At 38.1% G+C, this 22,527-nt stretch overlaps 1 protein-coding gene across 2 annotated transcripts in view; it reads right to left on the minus strand.

The window, feature by feature from the left end:
* The window catches only part of LRTM3 (leucine rich repeat transmembrane protein 3), a 29,706-nt gene continuing 7,986 nt past the window's right edge, over positions 808-22,527 (minus strand). The window contains exons 4-5 of one of the 2 annotated variants that reach the window (XM_011521106.2): positions 20,961-21,829; positions 808-20,840 (exon numbers count right to left, since the gene is read on the minus strand). In XM_011521106.2, the coding sequence (XP_011519408.1) occupies positions 892-20,840; positions 20,961-21,829 (20,818 nt within the window). In that variant the 3' untranslated portion in view covers positions 808-891. Of the gene's footprint in view, positions 21,830-22,527 lie in introns of both variants that reach the window. The other variant, NM_001146197.3, reaches the window with a different exon arrangement.

A 22,527-nucleotide genomic window follows, 5' to 3' on the forward strand; every position in this document is an offset into this window, starting at 1 on the left:
CATTACATCTGACTTCAAGTCAGTGAGATTGGATAGGTTACCAATATTTTGGGGACTGGATTTAGGGGAAGTTGAGTTAGGGTGCATTTAGACTGGGTTGTATATTTTTGTGATTGACATTCGCTTTGATATATATTTCTGTCAAAGTGTAGGAATAACTTTCAGGAATCCTTCTGCCCACTTTAAAGGACATATCCTAGGTGGTGAAATAAGGGTGCAAAGTCAGGGGCTACATCCCAACATGAAAGCCTCCTACAGTGTCCAGGACCAAAGGATTGTGCAAAGAGAGGAGAAACAGGGCTTGAAATGTACAGTATGAGAAACTGGTAGGCAGAAAAAGGCTTCTTTTCATCAGGTGTGTACAATTATAAGCAGGTAACTCTTTCTGTACAGCATCTAGTCAAAAAGGATGTTCCTTCTGTCAAGAATATACTCAAAAGAGCAGAGCATGAACTATCCATTTACTAGTCTTTCTTTTTTGATGGGAATTGCATGACATAAGGTTCACCAGAATTTTTGTGTTTGCGCAGTATAAACCCATACCAATACCACAAACAGCAAGGACATCTGTATGTGAAGTCACACATTTTATGCATCCCAACCTATTGGTTTGCACCTTACCATATCTGATGTATCCCTTTCTGATGAAGTCTGGTGGTTCCTGATGAAATGGTATGCAAAATTGCCAGAATCAGTAAAAGTGCCTGAACTTTCTAAATTGCTAATGATAAATAACAAATTTCAATCTATCATTGGAAGATTGGATTACTTTCTATCTTTATATAAAAACACTTCACGAGGAAGCCATTGGATGTTATATGATTGTATTTTTCACAGAATATCACAATAGCGACCAGCTGTCCACTTCAGAGGAGTTTAGCTATGGTAATGTCAGCTATGAAAAACGGTAGTAAGGGACCCCGAGAGCGACCCCAACAACTTTTTGGAGGAACTCCATATATTCCAAGAACTTGAAATCTTTGCCACTAGGGGAATTCTGAAGTTTCTTTTCCTTAAGGTTTCAGGGGGAATAGTCCAGCGAATGGTTTTGGGTATAACCTCCAGTGAGTCTGCCGGTACACAGGCAAAAAAAAAGGGCCGGTTTTGTTTTCTTTCAGAATAGAAGTTGATATCGTCATGATGAGGTTTTGATGCTGATTTATGTTTGCTTTGGAAACAATCCAATCTTTCTGACTCATAATCATACACTCTCTTCTTTCTGTCACGTTTCCCTTTGCTGTGTGTACAACTGTAATCGTGGTCCCAATGACTGCTGTTCTTCCTAAATAAATCAGATCTGGCCTTCTTTCTTTCTTGGCTTTCTGGGTGCCTGTGAGACTTGCCTTGGTTTTTTGCAAGATGTGATTTAATATTTGATTCAGTTAAGGGAGCTGAAGAGTAACTTGTTCTGCTCTTGGTAGTCCATGAAATCTTCTCTTCACTGAATGATACACTAGATGACCTAGACTGAATTTCCGCAGTATTTGATGAACTATGACACAACCAGTCAGGAGATTTCATTTTGGAAGATGATCTATATTTCCTGCTTTTGTGGGACTTACAGGAAGGTGGTGTAATAATTAAGGTTTCCTTTCTGCACTCTCTAGTACAATGGGAACCTGAATCTTCACTGTAAAATGATTTCAAATCAGTCGTGATTTTGTAGACATTTTCCAAAGGAATGCCTGTCTGTAATTCAAATAGAATGTTTTCTGATTCCTGACTTAAATAAGAGTTGGCTTCCAGAAACACACATTCCTCACTCTCACTTACTTCAAGACATGAACACTCGTCCAAGTCAGCTGGACTCTCAATATCTGTCTGAATATCAACAAAATCTTCAGAAATCTGAGTTTCACATGAAACAGCTGAACCAGTAGCATTTCTCTGGGTCCTTAAATCAACAGATTCACATGTATTTCTTTCTTGAAACCATACATGATATTGTTTGTTTTTTTCTGGAGTCACATGGAATTCTGACTCTGAAAGAACTTGAGTATCTTTCTTCCTCGGGCTGTGCAGATCACGGTCAGAAGCACACACAAGGGTTGGCTGTGGGAATTTTCTGATGAGTGATGAGTTTTCATGGGGACTTTGCTTTTTGAAAGAAATATGTTGTTCTAACAGTTCTGTATCAATGGAAAGACTACCACTTTGTCCACCAGCATTTACGTTTTTACACACTGCAATTGTGTTTAACTTACTATGTTTGGGAAGTACATTTGGCTTAGGGAACGTACTTCCAACAGGAAGCCCCAGGAGAAAACGAAGGTATTTGTATTGTAAATCAAGATCTATTTGATGGAGAGATTTCTCCTCAGAAAGTAACAAAATTCTGTTTTGTCGTTTTGGTCCTGTGAAACCAGGATGAATACAGTTAGATAAGGGTTTCTTTCTCTCATGAGCACTGGTCATTGCATAAGATTCTCTTACAATTCTGGGAAAGGCTTTCATTTGTATCTCCAATGTTTTCACAGAAAAGTGCATGAGGAGTTTGCCTTTTTCTTTTACTGAGTGGTTTTGGAGGGTATGAGGCAATAGCATCTCACTAGCAGAAGTCACTGCAGATGTTCCATTTTCTAGCTTATTAATACTCTGTAGCTTTGTGATTGTCTCCTCACTGTCACTTGAAACATCAACAATCAGTGTCTTCATATTGCTGGCAAGAGGTGAATCCTTTTGGTGTTTATGTTTTGAGTTAGGTTCTATGGTATCAGTCCCTTCTAGAGACATAAAGTTCATTGTTTTATGTCTAGAATAGAACCTCCAACTGTTATCTTTTGAAATAGTCCCTTTTGGATAAAAGTTGAACATTTGTAAAGATTTCCTTGCCATCTCTGGTATCAGATTCAGTTGTATTTCAAGTGCTTTTGACTCTAAATGACTAGTAAGCTTATTTTTTTCTTTGGGAGTAAACTGTTCTAAAAGGGATTTGTGCTGCGTTTTGGGATATATTGCTGTTGATATTGTATCTGGACCCTCTGGAAAAGGTGGTGACTTCAAGTCGTCAGGCTTATAGGCTTGTATGTTATCTAGTTTATCAGAAGAAACTTTGTCTTGGATCATATTTTTAACCTGGGACTCAGAGATAGCTTTGGTTGCTTCACAAATGGGAAGTAAATGTTCTGCATTTGTACTGTCTGCAACTATTTTGACTTCGCTACTTTTAACTTGAGGCGGTATGGGCACAGTTCCTGGGAAAGCTTTTTGCTGCTGAACCTTTTGTGTGGTCATGTCCCATACTGGTTCACTCTGATCCCTTTGCTTGGGTAACTTTGGATCTTCAAGCATAGATGGACACTCTGTGGGTGTCAGAATGCGTTTTAGAATCTTTTCTTCCTGCTCGATGATACGTAAGTCTGGTTTTTTAATGATCCTTGAGACATCATGCTCTGGAACAATCCGTTCTTTTGTTTGTGCCTTTAAGTATTTTTTATTCATTTCACTTCTGAGGTTTGCTTCTGATTTGACATTAGGAAGTTTCTGCATTTGTTGTTTGTCCACTGCAAAGGGCTGGGGATCTTGTGGAACTGTGTTTGTAAAATTCTGTTCCCCTTTTACAATTGTTAAAGTGTCTCTCTTAGACATTTCACTAGTGTTTGGTGATTTTTCCTGGAATTTAGGAAGACAGATTCTCTTTTCTCTTTCTAGGTTTGTCTTAGGGTCAGTGTGAGGTGAACGCATGATGGAAATAGAAAGACTTCTGATAAATATTCCTGAGACATCTTTACTCCACGAAGCTATGTTCTTTAACTTAACATCATACTCTAATTTCTTTCTATTGCTTGGTGTACCACGCCCCGTGATATTAAGCATCTGTGGAATTGGGTGATTCTGGATTTTCATAGTTAAATATTTGGTGCTCAATTCTCTTTTCAGATCTCTTATTGTTAATCTGCCTTTCTGATCTTTACGTTTGGGAGAAAGAGGAACATATGAATAAAATGAATCCAGAACATTTCTTTGAAATAATTTTTGTAGTTGAATGCTTTGTTTTGCATTAGATGCTTCTAGTTCTTTTTTCTGCTTTTGCATGATTAGGCGGCTGTTCTCCCTATGAGTGATGACTTGAGTCTTCATTTGAGATTCCTCTGCCTTTAGAGATAGAAGATGCGGGTGTGCACTACTGCTTGTGTCCATTCTTCCTCTCTCCTTCTCCAGATTGGCAGTCCTGGCCTTGTGCATCTCTGTTTTCTCTTCTTGCAGATGTAAAGCTCTGTTTGTGCCTATTTTTAATTTCCCTTCTTTCTGATTCACAGTACTATCATTGTCCATTTCTAATTTTTTCTGCTCTAGATTTATATTGGTGTTTGCGTCTGTTTGATGTTTTTCCTCCAGATCCCCTGATTGAAATTGAAAAGTCCAGGGAGGGAATAGGGACTTCGGAAGAAATTCCAGAACACCTTCCTCTTGTTCTGAAATGAGCAATGCCTGCTTCCTTCCCCCTTTTGCAGGGTCAATCTCTGTCATATCCATGTGTATTCCTGGTAGCATCTGTAGGCTGAGGTGCGCTGTTGTTTTCTTGTCCACATCTGTTTCCGATGGTGTCTTCTGCTTTCCACTTTGAAGGGGAAACTTAGAAAGGATAGTGTTCGTCCTGGTCTTGTGCCCATGTTCACACCGTCGGATCACTTGCTTTTTCATGACAATATCTTGTTCTTCTATATTTTGGGGGGCATTCCAGTTGGTGACGATACTTATTTTTTTGAGTGATCCCTTTGTCTGTGGTGCTAACACTTTGGGAGAAAACATTTTGCTGATTCTATCATTACTTTGTCCATCTTCCTTTGGCTTATCAAATTTACATGAACCTGCAAGTTCTGGAGATACTTTCGATGAAGTTTCTTGCTGGTGAGCGTATCTCTCTGAAACAGAAAATCCTTTTGAATTTGCAGGGGTGCCAAGTGTGACATACAGTTCCTTAGATATTTTCCTTATCAGTGAAACTGAAGCCTTAGGACTGATTTTATGGTTTAAGTTATCCATTATTTCAGTGTCTTCTTCCAGACCTCCCATTTTAGTTGCATCCATTGTGGGATAGGAAAGAAACGCAGTTAAAGTTTCTGTTTTGTATTTTACAGGCTGAGCCTTTTTCCCTGTAAAGAGCCATTCCGGCCTTTTCCCACTTCTTATGGTACCAAACCCTGTGAAATAAATGTCCTCATCCCGTGAGTTTAAAACTAACTGATTCAAATCTTCTTCTGACCTGACTCGTGAAGGTTGGTTCCTTTGCTGGACGCTGATCATGAAGTTTGAGGTCAACTGTTGCTCTGCCTCTGGGCGGGGCACATACTGTTCTGCTTGCTTAACAACGTTTTTATCAACGCCTTCAACTGAGTCTCTATTTGTTATTTTCTGGGTATTTGAGGGTACATGGAGAGTTCGCTGTGGACAAGATGATCCTGTAATTCCTGGAGTGTCTTTGTCTGTTTTGTTCCCTGAATCCAGATAAAGAGGAGGTGCTGACGGTATAGAAAGAAAAGTCCTTGACAGAACCACACATGCTTCATCTTTATCTTTGTGTACTTTTTTCTCCAGTTTGTTAATATTCAACACTAATTCCTTTGCATTAAGGATATGTGACATTGGTGAAATCCTTGCCTCTTGGCAGTGTATCCTGAACCTCATATCTATCGTTTTCACTTCATGCCTGTTTTCTTTCTGTGACCTATGTGGTTTTCCTTTTCTTACATCACCACTCCTTGCCTCTGCATCTGCTGTTTTCTCTGTATCTGGTAATGCTGATGGCATTAGTGGAAGTACAAAGGATGTCTTACCTCCAAGCCTTTCTTCATCTGCATGCGTAGCTCTCTCCAGTTTAAGGTTAGATGGCAAAGGTTTGGAAAAGAGTATGCACATTTTTCTTTGAATCATACCTGGTGGTTTATCTTGACCTTCATGTTCCTTTCGTCCTTGCCCTCCAATGTTCACATGCAGTTCTGTTCTGTGGAGCATACAGGAACGAGGTGACTTCTTTGACTTCAAAGTTATATCTGTGCCTCTCATATCGATTATTTTTTTTTGGTTCCTCTCTTCTTTTTGAGGGATATGTTGCTTTTCATTTTTAACATCTTTTGGGATATCACCAACGACGGACTCTCTATGTACAGTCTCCCCTATGTGTGATATTCTCCGCAAAATAGGTCTTTTAAGTCTTAGCATTTCATTACCTAAATGTGTTTCTTTATCCAATTCTAGTTGAGATAGAGATGGCAATGAAGTAGATTTGGTCAGAACCACACCTGGTTCACCTTCACATTCCTGCACCTTCTCTTCCTGATGTTTGGGGAATATTAAGATGCTTACTATTTGCACGTCATCCTCTTCCTTGTTCTGTGACACATGTTTTCCTTTTTGTAGATAGATTAAAATATCACCAGCAATTGGCCTTATACATGTGCCTCCCTCAGTATCTGGTGATACCTGGAGTTTTACTAGGGGAAAAGAGGGTCTTGTTAATATTGGTATGCTTTCCTCCTGAAACCCTGTATTCACATTAAGGTGAAGTGGGGAGGATCTAGAAGGACTCTTAGACAACATGACACCTGGCCCACTTTTAACTTTCTGGACCTTTTCCTCCTCTTGCTCTCTAGTTTTCCACTGAAGATCACTGAAACTGTGCGTATGTAAGACAGGCGATTTCTTTGCCTTCAAATACATTTTGTTGGGATCCAGTACACTGGTCATATCCGCAACTTTTTCTCTATCCTTCTCTTCTTTCTGTAGCAGGTGTGCTTTTAATTGCTTTACATCACTTGAAAGTTCTCCATGGGTTGCTTCTGGACATGCTATTCTCCCTGCATCTGATGATTCCTTGGACCGTGACTGTGGGAGAGACACTTTTGCAATTCTTATCACGTTCTCCTGTCCTTCTGTTGTATCAAACTTAAGATATGGTGGAGTAAGTAAAGAAGTATTAATGCTTGGCAGTCCTTTAACTTGTTTATTTTTATCTTCCTGAATCTTTCTCTTTTGTTCTTTACTTTTCCACTGCAATTTTTTGGTATTGAGTATATCTGAGAGTAGTAATTGCTTTGCTTTCAGGTCTGTACATTTGGGGAGCATTTTGTCTTCCATATCTATTCTGAGTCCACCTTTCTCTTCTCCCTGTGCTGTGGGTTGCACTGGTCCTTTTGAGTTGCTTAATGTGTAACCATGCAGTGACTCAGTATATGCTTTTTTGCCTGAATCTGATGAATCCTGAATCTTTAGTGGTGGAAAACTGAATTGTGTTTTTCCTAATGTGCCTTCCTTTTCATTCCTTCTAGTGTCACAATTCAGGTAAAATGGAGGAGGAGGGAATGAAGCAGATTTCCTCGGAACCACTCCAGGTTCCTTTTTGCTTTCCTGTACTCCTTCCCCTTGCTCTTCAATGTGCAAAGAGTAGTTCTTTCCATTGCATAGAAGTGCAAGTGGGAGTGCCTCTGCCCTCAAATGTATCCTTTTGGGGAGTATTCTACCTTCCCTGCCTTCTATTTTTACTCTGTCCTTTGCCTCTTTATATGGCATTTGTTGGTTTGCTTTTAGTATTACTTTATGTGAGCTAATACCTTCATTTGAATTTGCAAGTCTGCTTTTTCCTGCACCTGATGATATAGGAAGCTTTGGTTGTGAAGGAGAGAATCTATGGTGAGAGAGAGAAGGCATGAATGGATGAGTTTTTGTCAGAATCACATGAGGACGTCCTGTCCTGTCCTGCTTCTGTCCTGCTCTCTCTTTCATGCCCCACTGTGGCTCCTTTCTCTTACTCAGAGGACTGTGCTCAGTGATGCTGAACACTTGTGGAGGTGCTGATGTCTTTGCCTTGAAAACGGCACCATTGGGGTGCATCAGGCCATGCATGGATACTGTTTGTACTCTGTCTTCTTTCTGTGGAAGGAGTTGTTTCTCTTTCTTTACAAGGCTCTCTGTTGGCTTTGTAGGTGCTGTTTGCCTTGAAGGCAATGATTCCTGGATCTCAAGATGTGGCATAAAGCTTCTTGTTATTCGTGGTTCACCTTCCTCTTCTTTTATTGAGTCTAACTCAAGGAAAGCTGAAGAAGTGACAAAAGGACAAGTTTTGCTCAGAAGTACAACTATTTCCACCTCACCTTCTTGTGCCTTTTCCCCTTGTTGACTGATGTTCACCTGCAGTTCCTTTGTTTTTAGTATATGGGAAAGGGGTGATTTCTCTGCCTTTACAGCTATGTACTCGGGATGCATTACACTTTTCTCTGAAATATTTGCTTTATCCTTTTGGATCTGGGCCATGTATTTTGTTCTGTTTGAATCACCTGTGATATCATTCAAATATGACAATGTATATTTTAATTTCCCTGTATCTGATGATTCCATGTGCCATGAGGGTGGAAGAAAAGATCTTGTTACTCCTTGTTCCTCTTTTTTGCCTGCTGTTCGTTTGTCTAATTTACAGTGAGATAGAGAAGGTATTGTCAGAAACACATCCAGTTCACTTTTTCTTTCCTGTACATGTCTCAATTTTTCTTTTATGTTTGTTAGTACTTCTCTAGTTTTTGAGCCACTGCTGCCAGGGATATTGAGTGTATGTGGAAGTGATAATTGCTCTGCCTCAAAAATTGTGCCTTCAGGTTGCATTATATAATCCACACTTACTGTTTTTCCTCTATCTACTTCTTTCTGTGGCTTGTATTCTTGTACTGTTTTTACATCATTTGAGCTATCCACCCCAAAAGACTTTGTATGTGCTATTTTCCCTGCATCAAATGATTTCTGCTGCCTTAGTTGCAAAGTAGCAGATTTTATTATTCCTTGTAAGTCTTCCTCTCCTTCTTTTCTTGTGTTCAATTCATAACAAGTTAGAGAAGACTCAGAAGGCAAATGTAGGAAGAGAACTGTTTCCTGTTTACTCTTGTGTCCATCCCTTTTCTCTTGCTCTGTGCCTACTCCATCTGCTTGCTGTTGCTCTTCAGTTTCTCCATCCCTGTTCCCTTGCTCCTCACCTTCTCCGTCCTCTTTCCCTTGCTCCTGGCCTTCTCCATCCCTTTTCCCTGGCTCTTTAGGATTCAGTGGTAGGTTCTGTGAAAGTGCCTTCTTTCCTTTCAGATCTTTGTCTTCTGGATGCATTAAGTCTTTCTCAGCTGATATTTTTACTTCATCCTCTTCTTTCTGTTGCATGTAATCTTTTGCTTTTTGTACTTCACTTGCGCTATCACCCTCACTGGGCACCCCATTTGCTTTTTTCCCTGTCTCTGATGATTTCTGGTGCCTTGGTTGTAAAATACCAGGTCTGATTATTCCTTGTTGGTCTTCCTCTCCTTCTATTCTTGTGTCCAATATATAATGGGTTAGAGAAGAATTGGAAGGCAAATATAGGAACAGAACTCTTTCCTGTTCATTCTTGTCTCCATCCATTTTCCCTTGCTCTATGCCTACTCCATCTGCTTTCTGTTGCTCTTCAACTTCGTGATCCATTTTCCCTTGCTCTTTGTCTTCTCTATCAACCTTTTCTTGTCCTGCACCTCTTCTGTCCTCTTTCCCTTGCTCCTCACCTTCTCTGTCCTCTTTCCCTTGCTCCTGAGCTTCTTGATCCATTTTCCCTGGCTCTTTAGTATTCAATGGTAGGTCCTGTGAAAGTGCCTTCTTTGCTTTCAGACCTTTGTCTTCTGGATGCATTATGTCTTTCTTAGCTGATATTTTTACTTCATCGTCTTCTTTCTGTTGCATGTAATCTTTTGCTTTTTGTACTTTGATTGTGATATCACCCTTACTGGCCACTCCATCTGCTTTTTCCCCTGCCTCTGATGATTTTTGGTGTGATAGTTCTGGAAGATAGTATCTTGTTATTTCAGTGACATACTCTGCTTTTTCTCTCCTTGTATCCAGTTGTAAATGAGAAGGAGAAGGAATGGAAGCGCAGGCATTTGTCAGAAGCACACTTGGTTCACCTTTAATATGTTCTATCCTTTTCTCTTGCTCTTTAATGTCCAACTGAATTCCCTGTGAAATTGATGATTTCATTTTCTTCAAAGCCCTAATTTTTTCCATTTTTTGCCTCTGTTCTTTTTGCAATATAGATTCTAGGGCCTTTTTTACACTGTTTGAGATATTATCAGAAATACACTTTTCATATGCTGTTTTCTCTGTATCTGATGACTCTTGGAGATTTGGTTGTGAAAAAGAGGATCTCATTTTTATTCTCATGGCTTCCTCTCCTTCTATTGTGCCCACTTTAGAGTAAGGTAGAAAAGAGATGGAAGCAAAAGGTTTGCTCCAAATCTCAACTTCTTTATCTTCCTGAATCTTTCCTCCTTTTTCTTTGATGTTCAACTCTAATTCTTGGAATATTGAAGGCTGCTTCACCTCCAAAGCTATTCTTTTGGAATGCATGATTTTTTCCAAAGCCTTTTCCACTCTGTCTTTGTCTTTCTGCGGCATATGTTTTGCTTTTTCAATACTGCTTAAACTATCATCAATTGGCTGCTCACATTTTTCCATTGTATCTGATAATTCCTGCTGTGTTGATGATGAAAGACAGAATCTTGTTATTCCTCTCATGTATACCTCTTTTATTCTAGGATTCCATTCCAAGTGAGGTGGAGAAAGAATAGAAGCACAGAGTTTATTCTGAACTACATTTAGATTACTTTCATCTTCCTGCGTCATTTTCTCTAGTTTTTTATTGCTCCGTTGTGGTTCTTTTCCATGCAGTAAATGTCTAAAAAGTGATTTCTTTCCTTTCAAAGTGATACATTTGAGGCCCATTACATCTTTCACATCTACTATATTTTCTCTATCTTCCTTCTTTTTCTGTGGAAAACACTTTGATTCTATTACATTACTTAAACTGTCTCTATTAATTGACTCTGCAGATGATACTCTTCTGGCATTTGATGATGCCTGGAGCTTTAGTGGTGGAAGGCAGCCCTTTAGAGTTCCTGACTTATCTTTACCTGCTTTTGTTCTTGAATTTGAATTACTATGTGATAGAGATGGTAAAGAAGTACACAAGTTTGTCAGTTTCATACTTGATTTACCTTTACCTTCTTGCATCTTGCCCTCTTGTTTTATAATGTCTAACAGCAAAGGAAATTCCTTTATACTGAGTATATGTGACAGTGATGACTTCCTTGGCTTCAAAATGATGTTAGGGCTTTTTATTCTTTTCATATCCATTGCTTTTACTCTATCATTCTTTCCCTGTGATATGTGTTGTTTTGTACTTTTAACATTACTTGAGATCACCCCATCAATTGTTTCTTTATTCAATTTGAAGTGAGGTAAAGAAAGAATAGACTCACATATTTTTGCTGCAACCAAATCTATTTCACTCATTCTATGTTTCACATTGACCATTTTGTCTGTCATGTTCCACTGCATTTCTAGTCTGTTACTTGAGGCACCACAGTCACTGGTATTGAGTATATGTGAAAATACTGATTTCTTCCATTTCGAAGTTCTCCTTTTGTGGCATATCACGCCTTTCCTAATAACTTGTTCTACGCTATCCTTCTGTCCTTTACTTTCTTGCAAAATAGGCATGGATGCAGAAAGAGAATGTAATGTTATAGGCAGACATACTTCTTTTTGTACCTTTTCATTTGCCTTTTGTGTTTCTATCTTCTTCCCAAGTCTTAACTTGGGTGAGCTATTATTTGATATTAAATCAAAGACCTGTACCCCATCTGATGATTTCATTCCTTTTGGAAATAAGAGACTTGCATATTTTATAGTTTTATGGTATGATCCTAAAGGCAGCATTGAATCTTGTTTTTTCATCTGCCTTGGAGAAATCAAGGGCACAATCCATTCTAGTCTATTCTTAGTTATAGTGCTTAGCTGATCTGCAGAAAACAAGTCTAGTCCTGGTGTCCGGCTTGATAAATTACCTCCTTCTGATAATGCTTCCTTTTCCTGAGGCATTAAATGTTGCAGGAGACAGGGATACTTTTGAGGGCAAGATATATGCTCCCAAAAGTTCTCATAGGAAATTGGTAGGTACTGCCATTTTTGGCCTGTTTTGAGTAAGTCTTGTCTTTTTTTACTGTTTTGAGTATATCCAACTATGACATCCATTTGTTTCACTGCTTCTCTTGTCTGTGAAGTTAAATAGTCATAATGTGGAATATCCATAGCATCTAATTTCTCTTGTTGCATAGATGCATTGAACTGAAATAGATCTGTTTTGGAGTGAGATGCAGGCTTTGGAAGAGCCTTGTATGTATATTTTTCTTCCTTTTCTGCCTGTCTTGGAAAAAGCAAGCCAATTCCTTTTGTATTTGAAGTGAGGTACCCTAAACTATTGATTGCCTTTAATGCTTTCTTTACCTTTGGTGACTTAATCTGAAGTACGTCCATTAAAGAGTGAGAAACAGATGCTGGAAAAGCCTCGTGTGTACTTTCTTGTGGATGTTCTTTTCTTCCTTTAATATTCAAATGTATTCCTTCTGAACATGGAGGTTGATCCACCGGAATACCTACTTCATGTGATGCTTTCTCTACCATTGGGCTTAGAACTTTTGAACTCATGATTTCTTCTGCTGAGCCTTCTTTCTTGGGATTTTCAATATAAAGTTGATGCAATATGCAAGGGAGAACAGATTCCAGAATATTCTCTTTATTCTGATAATAATTACTTAGATGCTTCATCCTCAATTTTTTTGAAAAGTCCATTTTCTGTCTATTTGATTTTAATGTAATATCCAACTTTGATTGCTCTTTTCCCCAAAGATTTTCATTGAAACTTTCAGAGATGGTAACATTTTCTTTTCTTGCTGTATTCACTGCCTGTTTTAAGTGAAGAGGGTCCTTACTGAGGAAAGATTCAGAATCCAGAATACTTTCGGGAACATGATCTGGATTCACCTGTTCTTTCTGCTCTGCAGGCACTTTGTGCTGTACCTCTGAATTTGTACAAAGAAATTTCTGTCCTTTAGAACCTACAAATATATCAGTTTCCTTTAATCCTTCTTTTCCCAATACATGTGAACTAATTTTTCTGTTAATGTACACATCTTCTTCCTCAGTTACCTTTCCTGTGTTTTCCAAATGAAGAGGTTCCATAATGGGGCAGGCCATAGACCCCAGGTTTGTCATAGAAATATCTTCTTGTTTCAGCAATTCTTGCTCCTGGCAAGTCTTCTGTTGAGAAGTATCCAACTCTGTAAAAAATATATTCTGTCCTTTTGAGTTTAGTGGAATATCTAGTCTCTTCGATCCTTCTCTCTCCCACGGAATTGAAACTGAATGTTTGGCAATGCCCACATCTTTTTCCTTTGCTCTTTGTGCAATGAGGAATTCAAGTTCTTCATCTGTTCTAATTCGTGGGGCATCGAAACTACTGTAATTGATTTGTTGTGAACTAATCCTTAACGGTCCAATATAGTATTGGGATATGTCTTCTGAAATGCTTTGGTGTTTTTGTTCCTTTTCTCTAATATCTTGTTCCTGTTTTCTAAGAATGCTGGACATATCAGTACAACCTGACAATGACCTTTGCATTTCTTTTAGTGGTTTCTCCAGCTTTGGCTGTGGAAGAATGCATGTCCTGTCTTTTGGCTTGTCTTTCTCCATTTTTACTTCTGTAAGCTTTTTAATGCTAGACACACAGTATCCAGAGTCATAAACAGCCTTTAGAACTCGATGTACTGCATTTTTACTCAGCTGGAATGACTTCTGCTGCTGGATGTTACCTCTCAGTTCTTTTTTATTGCTTGCAGTACCATACTCAAGCAGCTGGGAAACTGTTATTCTTTTTGCCTTCAATTTTATCTGTTTGGTATGCATAGTACTTTCCACATCTGCTGTCTTTGCCTTATCTTTATGTCTTATGATTTTAGGAGAAATAGATGTGTAGGGATTAGGATAACTCCAGATAGTTCCTGAGACACACAGCTCTTGCTGTTTCTTTGGCAGGGCAAATGTCTTGGGATCTGCCCTTGTTTTCCAGTCTGCAGTTTTAAATTCTTTCTTGTTTTCAATTTGAAGTGGATGTATCTTAGAGAAAAAAACAGATTCTGGATTAAACTCTTCTGCAACATTTATCTTTGCTTCTTGATCTATTAAATCAACTTCTGCTTCTGTCTTCTGGGCTTTAAAGTTCTGTTTCTGCTCCTTATTATTGCTTACAACAGCATAACCTGCAGTATCAGGTGATTGTGAAACTGCTGATTGCTTTGCCTGCAAAGGTCTACCTTGGGGACTTGACCTGTCAGCCATTTTAAGTCTGCCATTCTGTCTTTTCATTTCTTCTGAAGCAGGTGAATGCCTGCCAACAGAATCTGGGACAATTGCTGCCAAATTACAGAAAGCATTTTCTTTTAAAACAGAATGGCCAATGTTCTGTTTATCATATTTGTTTGATATGGCATCATCTGTTGCCTCACTCAGTTCTGCACAATTATCTGATTTCTCCATCCTTGCGAGCCCAACTTTGAGACTTTCTTTTCCATTTTTGTTTTTTTCTATTTTTACATTTTTTTCTGAATTCCCTTTGTAAATCTGACTTTTTGAGAAAAAAGTTTCTCCCAAAAGCACATCCTCTGATTTACCAAGATGACGATCCTTTCTAAGATATGTGTTTGCCATGAAGTTTTCTGCATAGAATGGATCCATTTCTGTAAGATGTTCTTGCTTCTCTTCCCCACTTTCTCTATCATGTAGTTTTGCTCCCTTTACCAAGTTGGAAGTTCTTCTCTTGTCAATGGGATCAGAATACCTTGCTATCCCTTCAGCTAGTGACTCTATTTGTGTTGGTTGTGTATGACTTAACCCTGATATTCTCATGTCTATCTCTGTTTGGAATCCACTTTGCCTTTTAATGTCAGAGGAATCTGGAGTGAAGGAAGTTGTATTTGGAAATGTATCAGCCACATTTTCACCTTGCCACATTGCTTTCAGTTTGGTTTTTAAATTGGATTCAAGTTTCTTCCTATGTTTTGTAGTAAACTGCCCACTGATTTTATGTATCTGTGAAATTGGTGGTTTCTTTTCCTTCATAGTTAAACATTTGGGATTCAATATAATTTTCCTTTCTGATAACTGTATTGTGTTTATCTGGTTTTTAGAGTCAGATAAAACAGGCATGAAGAAATCTAAAGGACCCAGGAAAGTTGCAGGTGAGTTTTCTTGTACTTCTTCCTCTTCCTCTGTAATATGACCATGATTTTCTTGGCACTTTCTGTTGGATACAGTTTTTAAATAGGATTTACATTTCTTCCTATGTTTTCTGGTAGACTCTCTATTGATTTTATGTATCTGTGAAATTGACGACTTCTTTTCCTTCATAGTTAAACATTTGGCATTGAATATAATTTCTTTTTCTGATAACTGTGCTGTGTTCCTCTGGTTTTTAGAGTCAGATAAAACAGGCATGAAGAAATCTAAAAGACCCAAGAAAATTGCAGCTACATTTTCTTGTACCTCTTCCTTTTCCTCTGTAATATGACCATCCAGATTTTGTCGGCGTGTTCTGTTAGATAGAATGCACCTCGCTGCTGTATTGTATAAGAGTTTATCAATCATTGATTTGGATGTTGTACTCTTAGCATATTCAGTGGCACTGAGTAATGCCTCTCCTATACTTGTGTACCATTGCTTCCCTTTCATCTTGTACTTAAAACGGTGTTGCTTTTTCTTTCTGTGGTTTTCTGTAGAATATCTTATGATATTAAACAACTGCAAAATTCGTAGTTGCTTTGCCTTCAAAGTTACACATTTGGGACTCATACTTTTCTTGCCTATAAACTCTAATGTATAGCTCCGGCTTTCATATTCAGATGACATGAGGCTGGAGAAATCTAAAGGTTTTAAGACTGTTTGTAAGTTTTTTTGATTCCATGCAGTTTTCTCAGAAATAGAACTATCCCATTTCCTTCTAGGATTTTCATCCCAAGGGGTATCACGTGGTATTGAACCAATCTTTGATTTCCCTGTTTTGGGAAATGAAGTCTTTAGACCTTCCATACATTTTATTCCTTCTTGCATATGAGGACTTTGTTTCATCATGTATCCAGAAATAGGCTCTAAAACAGTTTCTCTAAAGTGTGTTTCTTGCTTTGTTTTTTGCACTATGTGAGACAAATTCCAAGATCTGCCTTCGGGACTCTTCGGTTCAGATCCTGATTTGCAAGGGTCAGGATCTTTCATTTGATGTGTACTGAAACGGAGGTGTTGACTATAGCATGGAACTGATTCTGTTAACATTTTTTGAATATTTTTATCTTCCCTTTCATGTTGTACATTCATGTTCATTGCATTACTAGATCCACTTTCCATGTCAGTCAAATTGGCCTTCTGTGCCTCCCCACCATGTGGTGATTTCTGTAACTCCAGGACAGTTGCTTGTAGATCTTTATTAAACTCTGCCTTTTCCCCTTTACCTGAATTGTGCTGTTCCCCCATACATTTCCTATCAGTTGGTACACCACGTTTTATTGCACCAGTTAAAACTTCACCATTTACTGAGTCCTCTGATTTTAGAGGAAGAAGTTTTGAATTTACTGTACATATTGTGCCATTTTGGGTCTGGAGGCATTTCTTTGTCTCCTCTCTTTGTATTGGCTCTGCAGGCTGAAGTTGCTGTGGGACATCTTGTTTGGTAACAAACAGAATTTTCCTACTTCCTTGGTTTTCTAATTTGTGAAAGTCAAGATCCTTCCCCTGACCTGAACGGAACATGAAATGTTGCAGGTGCTGTGGAATTACTTTTAACAATGCCTCCTGTTTCCTTTCTTCTTGCTCTTCATCTTGAAGAAGGGTTTCTTTAATGTCACGTGAAGTAATACTATCTTCATGTGGAGATGTATCTTGCTTTACTTGAGTAGAACTGAGTCTTTTTTCTCTTAGCGTGTCTTTTTCTGTTTCTACCTTGCTATACTTGTTAATGTCAGGTGTCATAGTCAGGAAAGCATATGTTTCATCTACCCCCTTTTTGCCTTGATGCAGTTCTTTCATTTTGGTTGTCAAGTTACAGCTCAGTTCTTTTCTACGTTTCGGACCAGCACCAGCCCTGATATTGAGCATGTATGAAATTGATGGCTTCTTTGCCTTTATAATTCCACATTTGGGATTCACTAAAGTTTTCATGTCTGAAAATTGTTTTAAGTTTCTCGTCGTTTTAGGTGTAGATAAAGCAGGCATGCAGGAACCAAAAATCGCTGTCTCTTTCTTTTCAGTACCACCAGCCTGTTCCTTTTGATGGCTAGAATCAGATGAGATACCACCTTCTCTTGCATAAAATATGATTTCATCAACCTTTGCTTCCCCAGACTTTAGAGGTGAAAACCTAACATGACTCTCTACCTTTTCAAATGGAAATTGATCCAGTGTAGGGCATGAAGTAGACTTCAAAATAGTTTGTGTAAAATGTGTTTGTGGTTGTACCTGAATATTTGTACTTCCTGGTTGGTTCAGTTCCTCATCTGATTTGACAAGCTCATTATCCTTCTGATATGCATTGAGTATTAAGCCATCGCTGTTCTCCAGAGCCTGTAAAGCTTTGGGAGGTGGAATCTTAGGACCTCCAAGGACTTTTATGTCATTTTCTGTTTCGTTGGCTTTTTGTAGTTCTTCAGCTTCTAAAGGACCCATTTGGAGACTAGTCTCTAAAGTAGTTTGTTCAAAACCTGTTTGGTGCTGCAAACGTTGTCCATTAATATGTAGCTCCAGTGTTAAACAGTTCAGCACTGGGTCTGATTCAAGATGGATTTCCTTCATTTGACCCGCCTCAGACCCCAGGTGCTGGCTCAGCTGTGGCGCTGCTTCTAATAAAACTTTATGTTCCTCTTCCTTTCCATCTTGCAATTTTTCCTCTCTGTCATGGGATATGCTATTCTTAGCAAAGACATCAGTGTATGTCTTATCTGCTGTTTCTCCTTGCTTTAATTGAGACGCAGGGAGACAGAACTCTCTCTGCAATCTGCTATGCATTGGAGAGCAAAGGGTATTTAGACATTCAGGTACCAATCCTTTAGTTTGGTTTATCTTTTTAAACTTAGTCTTAAAGTCTAATTCTGATTTCTTTCTGTGGCTTGTGACACTGACTGTCTCTGAGATTGATGGCTTCACAGCCTTTGTATTTACACATTTGGGCTTCGCTGTACTTGTTGTGAGTGCAAATGTTACTCTCTTTTTCATCACTTTAGAACAAGATAAAACAGGAGTGCAATAATTGAAAGTCTCTGGCGAAGTTGCTGGTAAATCTTTTGGTATTTCTGTCTTTTCTTCTGCAAAACAGTAACCCATTTCTCTTGTATCACTTCCATTACTTGGAATATAACTTTCTCTTGTTTGGTTTAAAGGGTCTCCAATCAGTGATTTTCCTGATATTGGAGAAGGCGTCTCTGAATCTGCAGTGCATTTGCAGTCTGTTTGTGTTTTTTGAGTACTCTTCACATTCTCAGCATGAGATAGTTCCATTATGGGAGAAACAACAGACTCAATAATAGTTTCTGTGAATGGGATTGGTTGATGCATTTCTTTCTCTGTTTTAATCTCCTTCTCTAGATGTGCATCAAGTCCAAGGTTGCAGCTATCATGCAGGACTGCTTTTGGTAGAGTTTCTTTGACGCCTTTTACTTCATCTTGCAATTTAGCATCTAGTGTGTTTTGGGATTCATTTCCCTCATTAATGAAATATGGATACTTTTCTTCCCTTTCAATTTGGGATTCCTCTTGGACTAGCTTGATATGACTGTGATTCTCTGCATTTAATCTGCTATACATTCTAGTATTAGGCAAAATAGACATGGGAGGGTAAATAACATTCAGAAGCATACCTGCTGCAATTTTATCTTGCAGTATCTGTTTAATTATAATTTCAAAATTGCCTCCCATTTTTTTCCTGTGGTTTGAAGTACCACATATATTAATATAAGGCATCAGTGAGATTGCTGGCTTCTTTACTTTCATAATTACATATTTGACACTGAGTACACTTTTTGTTTCTGATAATTTTTTTTTAATTTCCTGCCTTTTAAAATATGGTAAAGTAAGCAAGTGGTTATTGAAAGACCCCAGGGCAACTGCAGGTAAATATCTTTTTACATCTTCCTTTTCTTCTGCAATATGACTATCCGTTGTCTTTTGGAGGTTTCCACCAAATGGGACACTATACTCTGTTGTTTCAATTAAAAGTTCACCAACTGGCAAGTTCTCTGGCATTGTAAGTGGATTCTTTGGATCTCCGGCACTCTCTCTGTCTGTAGGTCTATCTGTGCTTTGCTTCACCTTCTCAACTTGAAATGGATCCATCATGGGGCATGGACTATTCTCCAAAATAGTTTGTGTAGAAAGAGTTTGTGGTTGGACTTCTTGCTCTTTATTTGGGGCTTTACTACTTCCTGAACTGATCTGTTCCATTTGGAATTTGACATACTTGGGCTTTTGCTTTAGATGTATGCTGAACCTGAAGCCTTGTGTCAGCTCTGAATTTGCCTCTTTCTCCTGTTCCTTTCTATCACATTGTTGTGGCTTTTTAAATGTACAGCTCTTATCAATGTATTCTGCGTTCTGTGTTTCCTTCTCATCTGGTAATTTCTCTTGCTTTGATGCTGAATGACTGAGCCTTATTATTCTTAATGTGTCTGCCTTGGCTTTTGATATGCTATGTGTTTCTGTATCAGGTAGTTGAGAAATGGTAGTGTAAGTGGCACTGTGAAATGCATCAGACGTTTCTTTATCTTGATGCATATTTGTTATGTTACTTCCAGTGTTGCATTCCAGTTCCTCACTTTCACGTAGGTCACTGTCTTCTGTAACATTAAGTATCAATGGTTTACTTTCCTTCAGATTTACACTTTCTGTATTCACTTGAATTTTTATGGCTTCTAATTCTTCACTGCTTTTATGCATTTTGCTTCCTGGGGAAATGAGCAAACCGACATTTGACAACTCCAGAACAAGTTCCAAAAAATCTTTTTGTTTCTGTGTATTTTCCCTTGGAAAGCACCTTTGCGTTTTTGGTGTACTGGTTGGTAACTCCTCTCCATTTGAAAGTTGAAGATGGGAATTTTCTGAACTTTGTAGGTCCTCCTGTATTTTCATTCTATTGTTCGATTCCATTTCAGGAGAGGAAACAAGTTTCTGCATAGGTTTTGATATAGCTTCTTCTAAAGATGTCTTGTGCTTTGGAATATGGAGATCAAATGGTTTTTTACTATTTAGAACATGAAATTCTGTAATACCAATTCCCTTTGCTTGTGTAATTGAGTCTTTAAGAGATTCTTTACTCTTCCCATTTGTTTCTACTAGTAAACAAGGTGCTTTTAGTTGAACAGTGTTGACCATGAAGGATTGTTCTAGCTGAGGTAACATTTTTGGTGAAATGTTTTTTAGTCTTTTGTTTTCTTTGTCATACTCCTTTTCCTTTTTAGTAATATCTGAGATTCCTGTCTCCTCAAGAGGACCTGCATAATTGATTTTCTCTGTATCTGGTGACTTATTTTGCTTCTGCAGAAAATGTCCACATTTTATTAAACCCGGCATGACTTTCACTAGTTGTTTTCTGGAATAATTTTTAACATAAGGCAGAATAAGCTTGGAAACAGAAATAAGATGCAAAGCTATATCTGATATATCTTTCCTTTCATGTAATTCTTTCTTCTCAGTGTTATTCTTGCATCCTAACTCATTCCTATTTTTTAAAGTGTGACATACTGTGATTTGAAATACTTGTGAAGTTGGTGTTTTTTTGGCTTTTAGAGATGGAACATTAAGACTGAGTTTGCTTTTACTGTCTGGTGTTTTTCTTCTATTTTTCTGCCCTTTAATGGTAGACAAAAGAGGCACTGAGCTATATACAGAATCCTGGTTCAATTCTGATGAAACAATTTGTTGCTGGCCTTGTGCTTTTACACTCCTTAGTTGTGGCATATCTTCAGTGACTAAATTTGGATTCAGAGTTAAAACGAGAAATTCAGCATTCTTAAAAATAGTGTCTTGCCCCTTAATTGAATATTTAACCTTGTTTGAATCTATAAACCAAACACAATGTTGGTCCTCACCTAAGTGTTCATCAGACTCCAGGCCCTTTACTGAATATTTTGCCTCAACAATTGATGGAACTTCAACAAAATGTTGGTTCCTATCCAGATCTTGGGACTGGAAGGAGTCTTGTGTGCTGCTAGAAAATGGCTTCTTCATCACATCTTCAGGCTGGGCAAAGTTGCTGGCTTTGCTCTCAGGCTGGCTCTTAATTGATTCTTGGTTATGATTTATATATTGGGCTTGACTAGTAAATTGGACTTCATAAAGACCTTGATTCTGAAAAGCATTTTGTCCTGGAAAAGAATCCTGTGCTTGGACAGAAATAACCATTCCAACAGAAGGTTGATTCTGATTCAAGGACTCTTGAGATCTTGAGCATTGATAAGTAGTTCTGCTCCCTAACTTAGTTTTGGGTTTTGAAGGAATTTGATTCCTCACATTTTCTTCCAGAAGTCTAACTTGATCTCTAGAAAGAAATAAGTGGGCAAGAGGGCAAGGTGCCACATCTAGATCTTCATTTTCTACAGTGAATCTAGATGCTGAAAAGCTAAGATCAGAAGAAAATCCTGAATTTTTGTTTTTGTTGGTTTTCATCATTGAAAATAATTTCTTGGAGGAAAATTGTATTGTTTCATATTCTCTGTCTGGATGCTCTGTATGGCTTAGACACGTTTCCTCTACTTCTGAATAAAACAATGGCAAAGATGAGCTGATTCCATTTGAAGATGGCACATGACTTTCACTAGAGGGACTTACTTGATCTTCACTTTCACTAGTACCTGACCATAGTATTTCACGTGAGAATAAAATTCTATCTTCAAAGTTACATTCCTTTTCTTCAGATGTAAGTGATGAAGTAATTCTTTTTTCTAAAAAGGTGCCAACTCTGAAATATAAGAAAACAGTGTACAAATGAATATTAGAATATATTTCGTATAAGAATTACCTTTAGATTTAAGAAAATGCAGCATAGTATATGAAAACAGATCAGCATAGAGATAAATTGGAAAATCATTATCCATATTACAAAACAATTCATTACCTAGTTCTTCTCACTTAATAAACTAATCGACGGAAAAAGTGAAGTAAATCAATTATATATCTCAGAGACTATACCTCAGCATCTCTAAAAGTCTATTTTTGACAAGATTGGGTCAAAGTTGCTGGATTAAGATTATATTATTTTACAAGGAATATCTTTTCTGTTCTCTATATGAAAGTTTTCACTAAAAGAAAACATTCTTATGGAAATGTAATAGGTACAACAGAAGAATACCAATAGTATAAACTAGCTGTCTATAGATAAATCCAGATTATGTTAACAGTTCTTTGAGATCAAAAGAAAAGCCTACATTTTAGGGAAGCACGTCTCAGTACAATTTTGGGCCGGAGTACTGATCATGGATGATGTGAACTTGCCAACACCCATGTACCTCAAATGATTAGTCTCAGTCTAAGAAGTGCTCAGACCAACAGCATCAGCATCTTCTGGTGTGATGGTTAATTTTATTTGTCAGTTTGGCTGGGCAGTGATGCCCAGAGATATGGTCAAACATTATTCTGGATGTTTCTCCCAGGGTGTTT

Source organism: Homo sapiens, chromosome 13 (assembly GCF_000001405.40).
Source record: "Homo sapiens chromosome 13, GRCh38.p14 Primary Assembly".
In the NCBI taxonomy this organism is placed as follows: domain Eukaryota; kingdom Metazoa; phylum Chordata; class Mammalia; order Primates; family Hominidae; genus Homo; species Homo sapiens.